The sequence below is a fragment of the Homo sapiens genome, chromosome 3, assembly GCF_000001405.40.
Source record: "Homo sapiens chromosome 3, GRCh38.p14 Primary Assembly".
In the NCBI taxonomy this organism is placed as follows: domain Eukaryota; kingdom Metazoa; phylum Chordata; class Mammalia; order Primates; family Hominidae; genus Homo; species Homo sapiens.
The window spans coordinates 149006668-149026647 of NC_000003.12; the positions used below are offsets into that span (position 1 = coordinate 149006668).

At 42.0% G+C, this 19980-nt stretch overlaps 1 protein-coding gene across 5 annotated transcripts in view, besides 4 other annotated features; it reads left to right on the forward strand.

Annotated features, from left to right (window-relative positions):
* Positions 1-19980, forward strand: part of GYG1 (glycogenin 1) — a 40236-nt gene that overhangs the window by 15128 nt on the left and 5128 nt on the right. For 3 of the 5 annotated variants that reach the window (NM_001184720.2, XM_017006275.2, XM_017006276.2), the window contains 2 exons: positions 2609-2735; positions 17386-17605. In NM_001184720.2, the coding sequence (NP_001171649.1) occupies positions 2609-2735; positions 17386-17605 (347 nt within the window). Of the gene's footprint in view, positions 1-2608; positions 2736-17385; positions 17606-19784; positions 19836-19980 lie in introns of all 5 variants that reach the window. The other 2 variants (NM_004130.4, NM_001184721.2) reach the window with 2 other exon arrangements.
* Positions 1741-2241: an enhancer, noted in NCBI's record as "H3K27ac hESC enhancer chr3:148726195-148726695 (GRCh37/hg19 assembly coordinates)". NCBI's record gives its function as "activates a minimal SCP1, AML or CMV promoter by ChIP-STARR-seq in primed H9 embryonic stem cells {active_cell/tissue: H9 hESC(primed)}" and the evidence as "EXISTENCE:reporter gene assay evidence [ECO:0000049][PMID:30033119]".
* Positions 8629-9258: an enhancer, noted in NCBI's record as "H3K27ac-H3K4me1 hESC enhancer chr3:148733083-148733712 (GRCh37/hg19 assembly coordinates)". NCBI's record gives its function as "activates a minimal SCP1, AML or CMV promoter by ChIP-STARR-seq in primed H9 embryonic stem cells {active_cell/tissue: H9 hESC(primed)}" and the evidence as "EXISTENCE:reporter gene assay evidence [ECO:0000049][PMID:30033119]".
* Positions 9259-9886: an enhancer, noted in NCBI's record as "H3K27ac-H3K4me1 hESC enhancer chr3:148733713-148734340 (GRCh37/hg19 assembly coordinates)". NCBI's record gives its function as "activates a minimal SCP1, AML or CMV promoter by ChIP-STARR-seq in primed H9 embryonic stem cells {active_cell/tissue: H9 hESC(primed)}" and the evidence as "EXISTENCE:reporter gene assay evidence [ECO:0000049][PMID:30033119]".
* Positions 14130-14780: an enhancer, noted in NCBI's record as "OCT4-NANOG hESC enhancer chr3:148738584-148739234 (GRCh37/hg19 assembly coordinates)". NCBI's record gives its function as "activates a minimal SCP1, AML or CMV promoter by ChIP-STARR-seq in naive H9 embryonic stem cells {active_cell/tissue: H9 hESC(naive)}" and the evidence as "EXISTENCE:reporter gene assay evidence [ECO:0000049][PMID:30033119]".

Sequence of the window (19980 nt, forward strand, 5' to 3'; positions counted from 1 at the left end):
TACCATTATGAACAAAGCTGCTGTGAACATTTCCTTAGCCTTTTTTTCTGTTCCCATGGAACCGATTGGCAGTATTTTGATGATTATGTGTAAAAGGAAATTAGTTAAGACTTCAGGCCTCTGTACCTCAGCCATTAGTGTCTAGTCCCACATTTGGGTATCTTTGTAGAATCCAAAATAAGCCTTTAATGAATGGCATGATGTTTTGGCTTTGATAGTTTGTGCCTCAGAATACATTAATTTGCCTATTAGCTAAAATTGTCTTTGGTTCTCATATCTGTCCTTTGTCTTAGCCTATTCAGGCTGCTATAATGAAATATCATAGATTAAATGGCTTATAAACAACAGAAATATATTTCTCACAGTTCTAGAGGCTGGGAATTCCAAGATTAAGGTGCCAGCAGATTCAGTGGCTGGAGAGGGCCCACTTCCTGGGTCATAGACAGCTTTTTTATTTTTGTTTTTTTGTTATAACTGCTGCATGTGGCAGAAGAGGTGAGGGACCTCACTTGGGCCTCTTTTATAAGAGCACAAATCCTATGCATGAGGGCAGAGCCCTCATGACCTAATCACCTTCCAAAGACCCCACTCCAGATACCATCAACTTTGGGGTTAGGATTTCAATGTAGGAATTTTGGGGTATCTAAACATTGAGTCCATTGCATTTTTATAACAGTGAAGCATATTCTGTTGCCATCTTTATTGTCCTTTAGAACTTATAAGAGTGAAACTGATTTTCTGTTGTTCGTCCTTTGAGGAACAGAGACCTGTCAGGGGTGCTGTTTAAGGAGGGGTTTCCTCAAGACAATAAGTGAACGCCTTTGATTCTTAGAGTTGATTGAAGGTATTTGGAAAGGATAGAATACGCAGAGGGTGGATAAGGTACACTTGGACTTTAAACCTAAAGTCCTGATCTTACTACTTAACTCCAAAAATTAAATAGATCTCTAGATTTTTAAAGTCTCCTTGAAAAGTAAGGAAAATTGAATAGTAACGACAGCCGACTGGACTTGCTGTATGTTGAGAAACGACCTGGATTTTTTGGCAAAGGAGACTGAGGAGAGGAGTGACTATGCAGTATTCCTGCCTGATGCTTAGAGCAGGTGTCTGCCTGCCTGCCATCCCCATACACACTCGCACATATGCACTCATGCACATGCACACACATCGTGAACTCCTGTTCTGCTGCTTGGGAGACTCTGGTTCTGAGTGTGTTTTCTGAAATCTCATGAGTCTAAAATAGAAAGCACATGAAATATATGGAAGAATGTGTCTTGTATTGTTTTTATTTCTTTTGAATGAATGGCCATGATCCCCGCTTTCTGAGGAAGATATGAAGTCCAGGAGCCCCAAGGGCTGAGCAGACACTTTGCTGTATCATTGTAGCTGACGCTGGCCACAGTGGTGACTGAGCAGGATCTGCCCAGAGACTTTTGGTCAGTGGTGGGAGAGTGCACCATAGGGGTAATGTGGCCTTCTGGGCCCTCTGTTGATAAGCCAACAGTTGTGGGCCCTGGAAAACAATTCCATTGTTCCAGTTTGCTCTCTTTTACTTTTTGATTCTTTTTGTCCTGTTATACTCAGGGGAAAGTCTGAAATCTTTAACTGGAAATAAAGTGTACAACCTGATCCCTATGTGGTCTGGTCCCTGCCGCCTTCTCTGAGACTCACCTGGTGCCATGCAACTCATTCCCGCCGAGTCCACTTACTCAGGCCACCTTCCAGGCCTTCTATCCATAGCCTCATGCTCCTGCCCGCCACAGGTCGGTGGTGTGCACTATTTTTGTTCTGCCTGGGACACGGTCCCCCGTCTTTCCCCCATCGGCATTTTTCAGGTATGCCTGTGCACCCCTCAGATATTGGTTTAAACACAACTTCCTTGTGGAAGCCTTCCTTCGCCCATCAGATGTAGCTCAAGCCACTTCCACGTGTGCCTGTAGTGCCACGTACATTCCTTCACTGCATTCATCTCCATCTGTGTGATGTTTGTTGATTTGATTTGCTGCTGTTGGTGTCTCCCACCTGACCCTTGTGAAGACAGTGACCATATCTCTTTGTGCACTGTTGACTCTGCAATGCCTAGTACAGTATCTGGTACATAGTAGCTGCTCAATAGATATTTGTCGAATTAATGAGTTAAATCAGGGAAATGGCCACTCCTTAAAATGTTTTTAATTGGTGTGTCAAGGAACTTAACTCAAAAATGAGGGCCGGGCGTGATGGCTCACGTTGGTAGTCCTTGCACTTTGGGAGGCCAAGGCAGGTGTATCACTTGAGATCAGGGGTTCGAGTCCAGCCTGGCCAACACGGTGAAACCCCATCTCTACTAAAAATAACAAAAAATTGCCTGACGTGGTGGCATGCACCTGTAGTCCCAGCTACTCGGGAGGCTTAGACAGGAGAATTGCTTGAACCCAGGAGGCAGAGGTTGCAGTGAGCTGAGATCGTGCCACTGCACTCCAGCTTGGGTGACAGAGCGAGACTCCGTCTCAAAAAAAAAAAAAAAATGGAATTAGTGTCTATTTTTAAAGGTCCAGTTATGTGCTCCTATAAAATTATTAAACTGTCTAGAGATCTGTTAACTAATTTATATATTTTTTTCTTTTAGGTGGGGACCAAGGCATACTGAACACATTTTTTAGCAGCTGGGCAACAACAGATATCAGAAAACACCTGCCGTTTATTTATAACCTAAGCAGCATCTCTATATACTCCTACCTCCCGGCATTTAAAGTGTAAGTGCAGATGGTTTAACTATTGTTGGAGATGTTGAGGGCAGAGAATTGGGGTGTACAATTTTGGGGCTGCTTCATTGTCATTCCGAGGGAAATAACAGATAGACACTTTGAGGAAAGTTTCTCTTGTAAGAACCGTGGCTGCAATGGGGAGAGGCCTTGATGTTATCGGTTGCCTCATGCTTGACCCTAGGGTCCTTAGTTGCCTTTGGGACAAGGTTCCCATCAGTTTCTGGGGTTCATGGCCCTCTGGTAAGTTATTAATATGTCATGGTCAAAAACACAGACTCTTAAGCTCTGCAGACTTACAACTTGGAGGAGCTGAGTTTGTGCCCTAACTCAATGTCTTCCCCATACTGGCTGCTGAGCTTTGGTTTCCTTCACCTGCAAAAAGGTGTTAAAAGCTCCCTCATAATTGTTGTGGGGATTAAGCCAGATGCAGGCAGCAGTGTGCTGCTGTGGCTAAGAATAAGGGCTCTGGAGCTGGATGACCTCACTTCACATCCTGCAGTGACCACTTCCTGGCCTACTTACTGAACTTCTTTCTGCCTCCATGTCTTCATAGGGTTATTGTGGGTAGTAAGGGAGGTAATCATGTAGCATGGTTAGAAGAGGGCCTGGTCTACCCAACTGCTCAGTACACGTTAGATTGTTAGTCATTTTTATTTGAGAGAAGCAATATAGTGTTCAGAGTAATTCGTAAACCAGAAAGGCAGGGCATATGTCCTCACTCTGTCATTTATCTGCTACATGACTTAAGACTTGGTGCCTCAGCTCCTCCATATGTAAAACGAGGAGGAAAATAGTACCTACCTCATAGGGTTGTCAGGAGGATGAAACAAATTAATACATATAAAGTGCTCAGTGGACATTTGTTGTTTTTGGTAACGTGCTTGTTTAGCACGCACAGTCCCTGGTGCAGTTCTTTTTTTTTTTTTTTTTTGAGACGAAGTCTCACTTTGTTGCCCAGGCTGGAGTGCAGTGGCATGATCTTGGCTCACTGCAACCTCCACCTCCTGGTTCAAGTGATTCTCCTGCCTCAGCCTCCCTAGTAGCTGGGATTACAGGCACGTGCCACTACACACGGCTAATTTTTGTATTTTTAGTGGAGATGGGGTTTCACCGCATTGTCCAGGCTGGCCTTGAACTCCTGACCTCAGGTGATCTGCCCACCTTGCCTTCCCAAAGTGCTAGGATTACAGGCATGAGCCACTGCTCCCGGCCCCTGGTGCAGTTCTGATACACCTTACAACTAATACAGCCTTGCTGCACTGTTTATCTCACTGTTAGGGACAGGATCCTATTATTTAGCCTCTGACTCATTTGTGTTTAACTAAGAAGATGATTTAGATTTCTTGAACAGGGGACTAGCTGTCAGGTCGATCCTGAGACAGTTGTGAGCAGCACAGCCCTTCACTGAGTTGGGCCAATCTCTGTCCCATATGGACATTCCTGAGTTAGCGGAAAACAAAGGGCCTTTCACTCCTCATATTTCATTATCCAAAGTCCTCTCCGTAAGTCTTACACCACGGTAATAAGCATGTCTGGCTTTTTGTAGCAGCAATGTTTCCTTTTCTGTTCTTTTCTGGGAAGACTCTATCAACATCCTCCAGATAAGGATTAGAAGCATCTCATGTTCTTTCCTCCCTAACTGTTCCCTTGGTATATGTCTCCAACATATTACATTCTCTTCCCTTTGTACAATGGGAACAAGCAGACTCTTAAACACACCAACTGTGTTCTGAGTAAAGCAGACAACAGGATTCACTGTCAAGGGAGGAATAGGAGAAGCATTATTTTCACCTCTCAGTCCTTGGCCTTGTAAAATACAAACGTGTCTCACATGGAAATGTGAACCTGATCCATTTTAATCCTTACTTATAACCCTGCTAGTCTGAATAGTGTTCTTGCAAACCATGACAGTGTGACCCCTAGAGCCGAATTTGTCTATAATAGGACATTTGCTTATAGTTTAATTGACTGAATTCAGTTTAGCAAGCAAAAAGTTGACAGTGCAGAGGAGAAAGACTTTTGAATAGTATGACCATTCCACTCAGTCCTGCACAGTGAGCATGTGGTTCTGTTTGACTCCATCTGATTTCCACCTTAGCACCATTGAGCACGTTGTACCTTTCGGGGATAGCCTGGTTTATGCAGACACTGCTTGCAGTACTTTTATTTTAACACACAAGAAGCAGGTGGAGCAGAGTTAAGTTTTGAGGGGTAAGACAGACTTAATTTGCTAGAACCTTGGCCCTTTCTCTCAAGAACCCAGTTGATTTTATATCCTCCAAATGAATTGCCCCCAAAAAACCAGTTAGAGATCTAAATTACTGAAACAGGATGGTTTTCTTCTTCCTGGCTCAATGAATGAGTGCTAATTTTGGAAATCCCCCGGGTTTATTGTAACCATAGAGAATATGACACACTGGGAAAGTTGGGAACAACTCCGTCCATTAGCCGGATTTCAGCTGGCCCAGGGCCGGCTGGAGATGCTGCTGCTTCAGTGCAGCTTGTGGGGGTCAGCTCTACGTTTCTGTGATAAGGCTGCTCAGAGCCATGCTTTGTCTTGCCCATTGCTGCCTATTGAGGAATATTGAAACCAGATCACAGAACTCATTTTCCCTTCCCTCTGCCAGAAAATATATTTGCTTTTCTTGTGGAGACCCATCCAGAGACATTTTTCCTTATATTCTTTTATATTTGGGAAAGGCTGAAAAGGTACAGGTAGTTACATTTCTTTTTTATTATAAGGTAATATAAAATTGTAGTCCAAATGTTTTTTAAATGAAAGTAACCCATTACAAGCATTTCGGTCATCATTGCTACTCTCCAAAGATCCCTGTGAATTTGAAGGCCCACTCTTGGGTTCAGAATAACCTTGGTGGTCTCCAGGACTAAGTAGCCCTATAGTATGCTGGCCTTCCCTAGGACAGCATGGGTGGTGGCAGGTGGAATTAGAGACCATGGAGTGGTCTGGAGCAACTTCGGCTTCATGGAAGGAAGAATGGAGTGTTTGTCTTGCCAACTCCAAATAACCATGCACTAGGATGTCCCCAAAGCAGTATTTAGACACCCCAGAATCTTAGAGTTTTGGATATCTAGAACTTTGTGGCCTTTGGTCTTACATGAAGCTTCAGCTAAAGGATGCCCTGGTATAAAGCAAACTTAGTATGAATTTAAGCCACAAAATAGCACATCTAGTGCCTTTCTCTCTGTATCATTTGGTTAGAACAAAAGATAAAGGAAACAAACTAATAGTTTTATCACTTCGAATGACTACTCAAATATAAAAAAACAGAATTAGTATTTTTTTTTTGTAAGGGAAGATCCTCTTTAACACGGCATAATTTGAAAATTAAAATGCTTGGTTTAGTAATTTTTAAGTTAGTTTGTAGTATTGCATCAGAAAACAAGTCATAAATGCATTTTATTTTTTTGAGACGGAATCTTGCTCTGTTGCCTAGGCTAGAGTGCAGTGGTAGAATCACGACTCACTATAGCCTCGACCTCCTGAGGCTCAAGTGATCCTCCTGCCTCAGCCTCCTGATGAGTAGCTGGGACTACAGGCATGTGCCACTATGCTCAGTTAATTTGTGTGTGTGTGTGTGTGTGTGTGTGTGTGTGTGTTTTATAGAGACACGGTTTTGCCATGTTGCCCAGACTGGTCTTACTCCTAGGTTCAAGTGATCCTCCCACTTCAGCCTCCCAAAGTGCTGGGATTACAGGCGTGAGCCACTGTGCCCAGCCCATAAATGCATTTATTAATAATATTTTTGAAAGTGCTTAGCATAATGTTTGGGATATATAGTTAGGTTTCTTAGGCTTTTAATAAATACGTTTTTTTAAGTTTTCTCTAACTGAAGGTTTTGTTTCATCCAGATAGCATATAGTATGGTTTGTGCATAGCACTGCAAAAAAAATCTTATTAGTCTTTTAAAAATCGTTTAGTTTCATTTTTGCTTTCTATTATATCCACTGACTAAACGCTCTCTAGGAATCTCATGCTATATAAAACACACCTTAAAGCAGAGAGACAGAATTCTCTGGTATTTCTTCAAACCACTACATAAATTAATTGGTCAAATTGAGTACAAAGCCTCATTCACCCAATACTTTCCATATAAATATTTTGTTTTACCCTTTACTTGAGTTTAGATATGACTAGAGACCTGGCCTAGTAAAATTAAATATTTTTTCATTTATTCTACTCTTTTAAACAGTTCTGAGGATATTAATATTTCTTTCTTTTTTAAGAATCAGACTCATTCACTAAGACCTTATCAAACCTATTTATCAGTATTTTCCCCAAAGAAATTAAACCTTCAGTGTTGTGAATTCTATCGTCCCTGTGTAGTTCTGATTTGGTTATTTTTCTTCGCTCCCTGAGACACCTCCTTGGCTCCAACTCTCCACGTAACTATTGTTATTGGAAGCCGTAGTCTATTTTCATTTCTTTTCACACTCATACATATTCACTCAACCCTGAGGCTGACTCAGAAAGAGTTTGGGTCACTCTTTTTTTCCAGCCATTTGTTGGCCTGCTGATCGTTCATTCAGTTGGCAAACCTGGAGCGTGTACCTTGTGCCACACTTTCTGCTCACTCAAGGCCTCAGAGATGAATAAGGGAGCTTGGAGTCTAATCCACTTAGCCACTGCTTAGGTGTACAGTTTCTTGTATGGCACATGGCACAGTCTGTCATGGTTTGAGTGTTAAGAAGAAGAATCAAGCAGTGGTTGCACAGATGTCTTGTTCCCTCTTTCTCGGTGATAGTGATGCCTCTTGGGGCCCCATTTCACAGAGTGGCTATCTGGTCATTCTGACCTCATCCGAAGTGTTTATCTCTATCAGATGATCTGTCCTCAGATCTCACTGCTGCATATTCTGGTGCCTTACCTAAGTCTTTATCACCAAGAGAAAAGCTTCCATATCGGACCCAACCCAGCCTTTAGATGCTGCTCTGACAATAGCAAAAAGGGCACAAGGAGTGAGATCGCATGGGCAGAAGTCTGGGGGAGGAATGCCATCTCGGTCGAAGAGGGAGCTCATGGGAGGTTAAAGGCATGAGGATTGAGTGGAAGAAGACATAACTTCTTTGGGAGGCCAAGGAGGGTGGATCTCTTGAGCCCAAGAAGACATAACTTCTTTGGGAGGCCAAGGAGGGTGGATCTCTTGAGCCCAAGAAGACATAACTTCTTTGGGAGGCCAAGGAGGGAGGATCTCTTGAGCCCAGGAGTTTGAGACCAGCCTGGCCAACATGCTGAAACCCTGACACTACTAAAAAAAAAAATACATATATATAAATACATAAAAATTAGCTGGGCGTAGTGGTGCATGCCTGTAATCCCAGCTACTCAGAAGGCTGAGGCAGAAGAATGGCTTGAACCAGGGAGGCAGAGGTTGGAGTGAGCTGAGATTGCACCACTGCACTCCAGCCTGGGTGACAGAGCAAGACTCTGTCTCAAAAAAAAAAAAAAAAAGGCATAACTTCCTCAGAAGTCTCAAATCTGTGGGCCCCAGACTGTATTTATCACACAAGTATGTTTTGTTTGTGCTACACAGAATTTTTTTTAACTTAATTGTCAATGCTTTAAAAATTAGGGAATTTCACATAAAACCCAGGTTTCCAATTTCTTTGGAAAAATCAGGTATTTGGTAGGATATGTCAAATGTGACTGTTACAGGTTTGTGGTCTAAGTGACTGGAATGATAGAGTTGCCATTTCCTGAAATAGGAAAGAACATGGGGGAAGCAAGTTCGTAGGGGTAGGGATTGGTCAGAAATGAACGGAATGTATTAGGTTTTAGATGTATGAAGTCTGAGGTGCATATTAGCATCCTAGTGAAAGTATGAAATAGCTAAGTAGAGATAAAAGTCAGGAGCTCCAGAGAGAAGTCTGGAACATATGAGAGTTGTCAGCATATAAATGATACTTATAGTCACGAGACAAGATGATGTAGCCAAGGGAGTGATTATCAGTAGAAGAGTCCTGAGGATTGACCCAATGGCAGGAAGATAATAGGGACAAGAGAATAGAAGAATAGGAACAAGAGACAGCAAGGCAAGTGGGAACTCAGGGAAGTGTGGTATTGCAGAAGCCGAGCAAGGAAAATGTTTCAAGGAGGAAGGAGTGATCTGTGTCTGTGTCAGATGCTCACAGATATGAGGTCAGATACAAGACAACTGAGAATTGGCACTGGATGTGGAATGTGGAGGTTCCTGGTGACTTTGGCAAGAGGACGTCTGGTGGAGTGGTGGGGGAGAAAGCCTGACAAGTGGGTCCAGGAGACTGAAGGAGGAGAATTGGAGGCAGTGAATGTAGACAGCTCTTCTGAGGCATCTGCTCTAATGGGGTGGCAGCTGGATGGGAATGTAGGTTCGAGAGAGGGCGGTGGTGATTGTTGTGTAAAGATAGATGTCACCACAGCATGTTTTTGTATTGATAGGAATGATGTTGGGGGTGGGGACAATGCAGAAAACTGTGGGGAGATGCTGGAGTGATGTCCTTGGATAGGTGAAAGGGGATGGCACCTAGAACACAAGTGGAGAGACTGGCTTCAGATAAGAGCCAGGACAGGCCGGGCGCAGTGGCTCACGCCTGTAATCCCAGCACTTTGAGAGGCCGCGGCAGGCAGATCACGAGGTCAGGAGATCGAGACCGTCCTGGCTAACAGTGAAACCCCGTCTCTACTAAAAATACAAAAAAATTAGCTGGGTGTGGTGGCGGGCGCCTGTTGTCCCAGCTACTCAGGAGGCTGAGGCAGGAGAATGGCGTGAACCCAGGAGGTGGAGCTTGCAGTGAGCCGAGATCGTGCCACTGCTCTCCAGCCTGGGTGACAGAGCAAGACTCCGTCTCAAAAAAAAAAAAAAAACAAAAAAGAAAAAAAAAAAAGAGCCAGGACAGTTTATCCTTGGTAACATGAAGGAAGGCAAAGTGTATGGGCACAGATGCTTGTAGGCAGGTGTTATGTTTTGGCTGAATGAATGAATGAGCAATCAGCCAATAGAGGCTAAGAATGACATGCTGCCTCCAGGAGAGTCTCCCTAGTGGCCTGGTGTTGTAAGTCCTTCCCTGACCTGGTCTGTGAAGAGAGGCCAGCCTAGAAGATAATGTTGTTGACTAGGTCCTAGTGTAGGTTATTAAAGTCTGGGTTCGAGTGCTGACATTGTTCTGATTTCCAGGGTATTATTGGGAGGATTAGTTTGCAAGGCAAAGAAATTGGGTGGGTGTCTGGTCAGTTGTTTGCTGGGGGTAGCAGCTATCTTCTAGTGATGGGATATGCACCCTTTGTGTTCCTCAGGCCCCACCTCAGCAAGTCCATTCCTCCTCTCCATGATCAGGCCCACTCCTTGGTTACTTGGGTTTGTGACTCCTAACTTAGATTGTGAGTGCGTGAGAGAGGAGAGGTGTGCAGTTGGTTGTGGGAGAAGGGCTTGTGTGTGGCTCTGCCCATGTGGGCAAGTGAGTCTGAGAAGGTGCATGAGTGAGTCGCAATATAATAGAGAACATGAGCCACAGAAGTGGGCAAGAGGATGCTTGACATTGCTGCCATGATTCCCAGAGAAGTGTCGCACAAGCAGTGCCGTCTTTCTCGGTATCTGACTGAACAATGCACGTAAAGAGCTTAGTGAGGACTAAAATTGCTCCTGTGTGTGCTGTCATAAACCAGTTCCTTTTCTGTTCTAAACAGTTCTGTAGTCTCATCCACATGTTACTGGCTGTTTCTCAACTACTAAACTAGTCATGAAAATTCTATCTGATCTTTTGGTAACATCAGGTCACAGGGATAATTTTAACGGCTCACATAAGCAGTATTATTGCTGGCTTGTGTTCAAACTATGTCTTGTGATCTGGACGACCCTTTTGAGATTCTATCAAGTTAAAATTAGAACATTTATTTTAAGAGATGTATGCAAGCTGAGACAAATCCCCATTACTGGGTCAGAATGAATGGCTCTCAGTAATGTAGAGACAATTGTGACATGTACTCAACCTTTTTTTTTTTTTAATTCCTGGCTAGTAGTTTAGTGGTAAGTCAGGGAGTGAGTCAGTGAATCTTATGGTTATCCTTACTCTGGGTTGAGGTCAGTTCAACGCTATCTTCTGACATCAACATTTCCCCTTCTTATTCATTGGTGAAGTATTTTGCTTTTATTTATTTATTTCTTTTATTTAGGTTTTTTTTTTTTTTTTTTTTTTTTTTTTTTGGAGACACAGTCTCGCTCTGTCACCCATGCTGGAGTGCAGTGGTGTGATCTTGGCTCACTGCAACCTCCGCCTCCTCCCAGGTTCGGTTCAAGTAATTCTCCTGCATCAGCCTCCCAAGTAGCTGGGACTACAGGCACACACCGCCATGCCCAGCTAGTTTTTTTTTTTTTTTGTATTTTAGTAGAGACAGGGTTTCACTGTGTTGCCCACGCTGGTCTCGCACTCCTGAACTCAGGCAATTCTCCCGCCTCGGCCTCCCAAAGTGCTAGGATTACAGGTGTGAGCCACCACGCCCAGCCTCTATTTTGTTTTTAGCCATGCAATGTAAATTCTGACTAATAACTGCTGGTTGCATTTGGTGGGAGAGAGAAAACACTAGAAAAATATTCTGGGTTAGCCTTTTAAGTGTTCCCCTAAATTTGCATTTAGGTTAACTTAAGAAGTAGTTTCTCCTTTTACTTATGACGTTTGCCCTTACTTCATTTTGGTATGGTAATTCTCGATTTTCATAAATGACTAAAGGGTAAATTGATTATGATAGAAAATGATCTTTTAAAGACATTTCTCAGAGAACGTAATTGAGACATAAAAATAATTACTTGAAATTAATATCTAGATTGAAACTCTAGATATGAAAACAGACTAGTGTTCAAGACCTGTTGCTCATTCTTTTTGTGTATGATGTGTCTTATGAAAGCTTATAGAGCAAGCCCTTCAGGTTCCTTTGCTGTGTAAATAACTGTTTAGTTGTACAGTTAGAGCATAATGGGAGTTAAAAGGACTCCTGAACCTTCATATAAGGTGGCCATTGTTCGGTCCAGGCAGAGATCCCTCATATCAAGCCAAGTGCTGCCCTAGATGAGTTCTAGGAACATTCTTGTGATATGACTGCCTTACACAAAGTTGCAAAATCTGGCTTCACTTCTCTCTCACCCTCCTATCCAAGCCCCATTTTTCCCCCACTTAACAGCTGCCTTATTTCTCACTTTTCTGCCCTCTTCCCACCCCCAAAGGGCTCTTGGGCTGGTCTAAACCTTCCGTGTTCAGTGACTTATCCAGGCCTGCTCTTCTCATAAAAAGCTGGTCCTCTAAAACCTCTGACCATTCACTACCACTATCCATTTCCATAGATAGTAGGTGTGTAACAGTTTGATTAAAGTAGTGTCAGGCCGGGCCCGTAATGTCAGGCCCACACCTGTAATCCCAGCACTTTGGGAGGCAGAGGCAGGTGGATCGCTTGAATAGCCTGGGCAACATGGTGAAACCTCGTCTCTACAAAAAATAAAAATAAAATAAAAATACGAAAACTAGCCAGTCATAGTGGCCTGTGCCTGTAGTCCCAGCTACTTGGGAGGCTGAGGTGGGAGAATTGCTTGCACTTCAGAGGTTGAAGTGCAGTGAGCTGAGATTGTACCACTAGACTCCAGCCTGAGTGAGAGAGTGAGACACTGTCTTAAAAAAAAAAAAAAAAAAAGAGAAAGTAATGTCAATACCTAATGCATCTAAAAGCATTTCCATTCCTTACTGGACAGAAACAGGGCTGAGCATACCTATGATATCTGAATCCTTTGCGTGATTTCTGTATGCCCCAGAATCTTTCTTACCTCCTCGCTCATGCTTCTCTGTGCCTTCACACTTCTGAGTCTGTTTCAAGTTTGCCACTCAGTAAACTGGCCCCAACTAATTTGTAAAGAAACCTACTTACATCCTAACACTTTGTGATTTGTTTCATTGCAATGTGGGTAGCTGTTGGGAGGCTACATCACTGTGCAGTACTGCCCTCCACAGTCCTGCTCACCTCTCCCATCTCTCCCCACTCACCCCCTGTCTTGCTGGCACCCAAGGGATTTCTTGCCTTAGGGCAGAAAAAGCAGTCTCACCCACATTTAGGACCCCTTAAGATCCCAGTTTCTACTTTAAACAGCCTTACCAAGGGATTTCTTAAAATGAAAACTGCCCTGTCTATGAAAGGACTATCCAGTGGATACAGTTTTTTCACTTTGTTAGGGTAGAATAGGTAAAGAAGGTAATTTGAGGAAGGAGGATCCTTCCCCTGACTACAGGGAGTAACAGATTTAGAATTAAAGAGATACTCAGGGATTCATGAAGGTAGAGATCAGTGCCTGAGTCACAGTGAAATGCAGGGTGTGGATTGTTTCCAAATGGTGTTCTTGTTGACATTCAAGAGGAAGGCCACAGGCCATATGGAGAGGTATTTAACCGGCATGGAGCTGGTATCCAGGAGGGCTGCAGAATCCTCTTGAACCAGTCGTGTGGCGGTCCAGAGCCATGCTGGGATACGGACAGAGCCAGAGGCTCAGGTGTATATTCTTGCCTGCAGCAGAGGGCAGTCTGTGTGCAGGTGGATTGGACCATTGTGCCCTTCCTCTGCATGAGCTCTGACACCCAAATCCAGAGACAGGAGCTGGGGAGGCCCTTAGACAATGTCCAGCACAGTCTACTTGTGGGTCACCTGCTGATCTTAAGCACCACCCATTTCTTGTTGTTATTCCATTTTTTCCTTAACCTCTGTTGCAAACTGCATCCTTCTGAAAAGTCTTTCTTCAGTCTTCTTGAATGCTAAGTTGCTTACTTCATAATATGCTTTCCTATTGGTTACTTTCTGTTGCTGGGACCTTAACTATACTTGGGGGATTGCCAGGATTCTTAGGCATACCTTTTTCACTTTCAAATTAATTGTCCATAGGCAGGAGTTAATCCATAAATTAACAAACGTCACTCTCAGACAATACCCTTATAATTCTGGGAATGTCTTACAATAGCAGCCTAGTCATGGCTAAGAGCCTTGGCTCTGCAGCCAGACTGCCTGGATGGAATCCCAGCCTTGTCACTCACCAGCCATGGGATCCTGGAGAAGTTATTTAACTTCTTCATGCCTTGGTTTCCTCACATTGTCATTTTGGAGATTAACTGAGTAAACCAAGCAAACACTAACCAATGCCTGCGACATATGAATACTTTATATTCTTATTATGAGCTCTTATTATTACTACTGCTTAGTCATTAGTAAACTGTCAAGAGAGCAGGTTAGAAAAGAATAGTTTACACTATATTCATGTTTTAACTTATTTTAATTAGTATTACTATCATGTTATGACTATGTATGACATTTATATTAAGTCTAGGCAAATCATGGGCGGAAGCTTAGCAGTTAAAACAAGAGGATCAAACAGTTTAATACAAGAGGATCTAAGTAGGTGCTGTGGCTCCAGGCCGGGAAGTTGAGTCAGGAGGGGTGGGCGTCCGAGGAGGTGGAAGGAATATCTCATTCTTATGTACTCTGTTTCGGTTTTAGGCTTATGGGTTTGTATTGCTAGGATGGGGCAGTGCCTTCCCTCCACTCTGCAACACAGGTGTCAGATCTCTGTGGTGGGTTCCCCCATCCTCATTAGAACATTTGTTGAAGGCAGTCATCTGACTCTTTCCCATGCATTGTCCCTGCCCCCACTTCCTGCACAAAACCACCTCTGAAAATCCCACCTGCATTCATTACTTTGGAATTTCAGTAGCCCTTAATGTCAGTACTGCCCTGATAGCCCCAACTTGTCACCTTGCTTATTTTTATGCAGATGACCCATCTTACTGTTTGAACAAAAGCCTTTTGGGGCCACACACTGAGCATAGTGCCATATGCATAATAGTTGTTATTTAATCGATAGCTTTATCTGTGCACAAATTTGGGCATTATGATTTTTATCCTTTTAAGGATTAAATAGAGCAAGAGTGTTGTGTGTGTTACATATACTTACGTGTATAAAATAAAGAGTAAGCTTGGGGATATCAAATATCCTCTTCATTTATCAGAAGAAACAAACCGTGGAATGATCAATTAACCTTAAGAGGAAAGAGCTTTACAAATAGGCTGTATTTTTCTTGCATGCTTTTTGGAGCAGCAGCAGCATGGTAGGATGGTAAGTGCTCATGCCTTAGAGGTAAAACCATGTCAAACCCCATCTCTGCCACTTAGTTGTGTGACCTTGGGCATCTCACTTCAGTCTCTCACAGCCTCAATTATCACATTAGTAAAATTTACCTTGTAGAAATATTATTATTCCCCATCATGTCCTTAAAGAATTTGGTCTCCAAATATAGTAAACTCTGATGATAGCTTTTTAACCAGTTCCTAACTTTTTTTTTTTTTAATAAACTTTAGGGGATAGGAAAGGTTACACGAGTTTGTATTATTTTGAACGGTATATCATGCTCAAATATCTTGGTTGCCTGTAATATAAATCTACTGAAATCTAACACTTGAGCCCAGTACCTGAGGTTCTGTCCCATTTTACTTTTCTTTCCCTACTCAAAGCCTCCTCTCTGGCTCTAACAGAGGATACCTGGTCTAGCACACAGGTGCTCACCTGATACCTGCCATTGCCTGTCTGGAATTCCCTACATTATCATCAGCTACCCAGATCACATCTGCTGTATAAGCTTGAAGTCACATCCCACTATCTTAGCACCTCTGCTCCCATTGAAGCTGGATAGTGCCCTTCCTGCTGTGAATTCCTGAGCACCCACTGTTCCTATTTTTGCTTTGACACTTGTTACATTCACGTTTGGTTTTTGTTTTTATATACATAGATTTCCTGCCAGCTAGAACAGGACTACGCTTTACTCCTACTTTTTTAAAGATATTCTTTATTGTGAAATGGAGCATATGTACAAAAGAATACATATTTTAAAATGTGCATTGTTTAAAAATACCACCCAAGTTAAGACATAGAACACAACCAGTGCCTTAGAACCTCTTTTTGTCCCTTCCCAATCATAGCTTCGCCTTTCCCCCAGAGGTAACCAGCATCATGAAATTTATATTGATTATAGTTTTCTGATCTTTAAACAGTACCTTTTTTCTTGTTTTGCCTTTTTTTTTTTTTTTTTTGAGATGGAGTCTCACTGTCACCAGGCTGGAGTGCAGTGGCGCAATCTCGGCTCACTGCAACCTCCGACTCCCGGGTTCAAGGGATTCTCCTGCCTCAGCCTCCTGAGTAGCTGTGATTACAGGCACGTGCCACCATACCCAGCTAATTTTTGTATTATTAGTAGAGACAGGGTTTCACCATGTTGGCCAGGATGGTCTCCATCTCCTGACCTCGTGATTTGCCTGCCTCAGCCTCGCAAAGTGCTGGGATGACAGGTGTAAGCCACCGTACCCGGCCTGTTTTGACTTTATGTAAGTGGAATCATATATATGTAATTGTTTGACCCGTTGCCTTTTTCAACAGAAATGTTTTAAAAATTCATCTTTTTGCTGCATGATGTGTATAGCTATAGTTCATTCATTTTAGATTGTATTCCATGCTGTGAATATAGCAGAACTTTTCCTTTAAAAAAGATGGCTATATAACTATAAAATCTCAGTCATATTCAACAATAAGCAAATATTTCTTACATATATGTTGGTGGGTTGGCTAGGACAGCTCTGATGATCTCAGCAGGGTTTGGAGCTAGGCTACAGGTTTGGTCCAGATCTGTTCCATGTTTCTTTTTTCTGGAAACAGCAAGCACCCAGGGCATATTCTGCTGGCAGAAGTTGTAACTTCTCAGAGGGTGAACAGAAATAAGCAATGCTTCTGTAAGGCACAATGTCACTTCTGCTCATATTGCATTAGTCAAGTCAAGCCAAGCCATAGGACATGTCCAACATCAGGTGGGAAAGTGTCCTCCCCCTGAGGAGGCTGGGAGTAATGTATACTTGCTGAGCAGAAATCTAATACAGACATTTGGGTTGTTTCCAGTTTTTGACTATTTCAAATAGTGCTGGTGCTGCTGTGAACATTTTGATTATATCTCTTGTTGCACATACACAAGCATTTCTTTAGGGTATATGCTTAGGAGCTGAGCTGCTGGATTGTACAGCATGAGCATTTTTAACTTTACTAGGTAATACCAAATACTTTCCAAGTGGTGTGCCTGTTCTGTCCACAATGGATTGGTGCTTCAGTGTTGCACTGAACCGATGCTACATTTACATTTTTTGTATGTATTTAACACACAACTGAATAAGTACTTTTAAAAGTATCTGTCTCACAATGTCACAGTGAACTCAGTTTGATTTTGAACCCTTACTGCAGGATGGAAAGTACACTGTTAAAGCCACAGAATAGGGAGGCCAAGGCAGGAGAAATCACTTCAGGGCCGGGAGTTCAAGACCAGGCTGGACAACATAGCAAGACCCTGGCTCTACAAAAAAATATTAAACATTAGCTAGGCATGGTGGCCTGTGCTACTCAGGAGGCTAAGGGTGGGAAGTTAGAGGCTGTAGTGAACTGTCATGCTACTGCACTCCAGCCTGGGTGACAGAGTGAGACACTGTCTCTTAAGAAAGAAAGCTATAGAAAAGTGCTACTAAGTGCTGCTTATCTTTTTGTCAGTACTCAGAATCCACTAACTGTTTCAACTTGCGTTCACTTGGCAGGTTTGGTGCAAGTGCCAAAGTTGTGCATTTCCTGGGACGAGTCAAACCATGGAATTATACTTATGATCCCAAAACAAAAAGTGTCAAAAGTGAGGCCCATGATCCCAACATGACTCATCCAGAGTTTCTCATCCTGTGGTGGAACATCTTTACCACCAACGTTTTACCTCTGCTTCAACAATTTGGCCTTGTCAAAGACACCTGCTCATATGTAAATGTGGTAGGTTCTGTTTCTTTTCTTCAGATCATTTAATGCTGCTTTTTAAAAAAATTGTTGTATCAATAGAGATGTGGAATATTTAGCAGCATTTTAAACAAAGAGATAAATAAAATTTTGTGGAAAGAAAACAATAACCATCTTAGGAGAAACATTACCAGCAAGAAGTAGCAGAAATAAACTGTGTGGCAGATTTCTTTGGATCTGAGAACACAGTTATTTAGAATTTTCTGTATATACCCATATATTTTAACTTTAGAATTCTTAGCCCATTCTCCTCTGAAAAGATTTTGAGATTATTCCTAAAGTAGTGGTCTATAAAAACAACACCCCATTGAATGTTTTAGGAACTGCAAACATTTAGATGTATCTACTTTATATTTGCCATCTGCTTAGAAGAATGTGTTTTCAGTGAAAATGACAATATGAACATACAGTAAATACTTCTATAGGATTGTTTTTATTTCCTATGTTTGTACTCCTATGATTACTATAGGATCTTGAAAAAGAAATATCTTTGTAGGAGGCAGATGACATGTTAACATTTATAACAACCCTCTTTAGCATCTTTTCTGACTTTAAAGGTCTTCTCTGAGGTTTGTTCTTATGAAAGAATTGGAAGAGGATGAGGAACGAAACTGTTACATATTCAGATATAAATAAGAGAACAGAATGGTGGTGAATTATAATCAGATAATCAGCTAATCACCTGGCTGTGAGATTGTAATATTATAAGAGATTATTCTCTTTCCTGTGGTATAGATTTTAGCCTGAAATTTCACTTACTAGCATTTACTAAGATATAGAAAGGAGAAAGGGAGAAAAACTAACACTTGCATTCTTACTCTGAGTTCTTTATATGGATCATGACATAATATTTGTACAGCAGTGGTCCCCAACCTTTTTGGCACTAGACACTGGTTTTGTGGAAGACAGTTTTTCCATGGACCAGTATGGGGGATGGTTTCAGGATAAAACTGTTCCACCTCAGATCATCAGGCATTAGATTTTCATAAGGAGCACACAACCTAGATCCGTTGCATGCACAGTTTACAATAGAGTTCACGCTTCTATGAGAATCTAACCACCTCTGATCTGACAAGAGGCAGAGCTCAGGTGGTAATTCTTACTCGCCTGCCACTCACCTTGTGCTGTGCGGCCTGGTTCCTAACAGGCCATGGACTACTGCTGGTCCGTGGCCTGGGGGTTGGGGACCCCTGTCATACAGTACTTGAAACCACCTGGCACATAGTAAATGCTTAATGAAAGTTAGCTATTCTTATTTAACCCTTAAAACCACTATATTAAGTACTATTAGTAAGTATTGTTAAGTATATTAAGTATTATATCTCCTTTTATAGGTAAATTAACTGAGGCTTAAAGAAGTTATATAACTTGTCTTAGTTATGTAATAGACTAGTCAAGCAGCAGAATGGGCCTCAAACGCAGGTCTGAAGAGACTTATCCTTATGAAAATTTGAGATGGACTATGCTTAAAAGTAGCCATCTACAGCCCAGAATTAAGAAAGTACCTTTTATGGCAGGTGAAGGGAGAGTTACACTTTAAATGCTAAACTATTTTAAGTTATGTCCAGTATACTTGGCTTGACCTCAGGGGCCTCTCTTTTAGGGTGTAAATTCACAGCCCCCATATTGTGAACAGAGAGGACTCTGGAAATGCCTCTGTATCATTACTGTTGCCAAGTGCAAGGCAAAGGCAGGACTAATCCAATGGAAGGACTTCCTTATGTTGCCTCAGCTATAATGCAGTCCTATACCCAAACATCTTAAAGTTCCACTGTATTTAAATACATACCTATATGCTTACGTATATACGTAATTATGAACCAAGGAAAGGTGAAGATGGGAATTGAAAGTTGTTCAAAACTAAGCAAATTAACAGAAGCTACAAGAACAGATGCTACTTGGTAATCCAAATGAAAGCTTGAACAAGCAGAGAAGTTTGGTACCTAGTCTCAAACCAGTTTAACTTTCCTTCTTATAATGTGATAACTGAGTATGTGTTGCGGCTCTCTAGTTAGATTCTTTCTGAAATGTAGCCTGTTGGGTATCATTTTGTTTAAGTTCTCAACCTTTCAGAGCCCACACAGATTGAGAATTTATCTTGAGACTTGTGTTCCCTTGCCCATCCATCTTACACTTTCTAATGAACTGTTTGCAGCTTTCAGACTTGGTCTATACACTGGCTTTCTCTTGTGGCTTCTGTAGAAAGGTATGCAGAACTTAAAGATTAACCCTAATTACTTTGTTCTCCCAATGTTTTCACTGAGTCAAGAAGTCTTCATTTTGTTAGGAAAAAATCATATAATCTATATTTTTGTGTCTTTTTTGTTTGTTTCATGTAATACTTTTCAGTT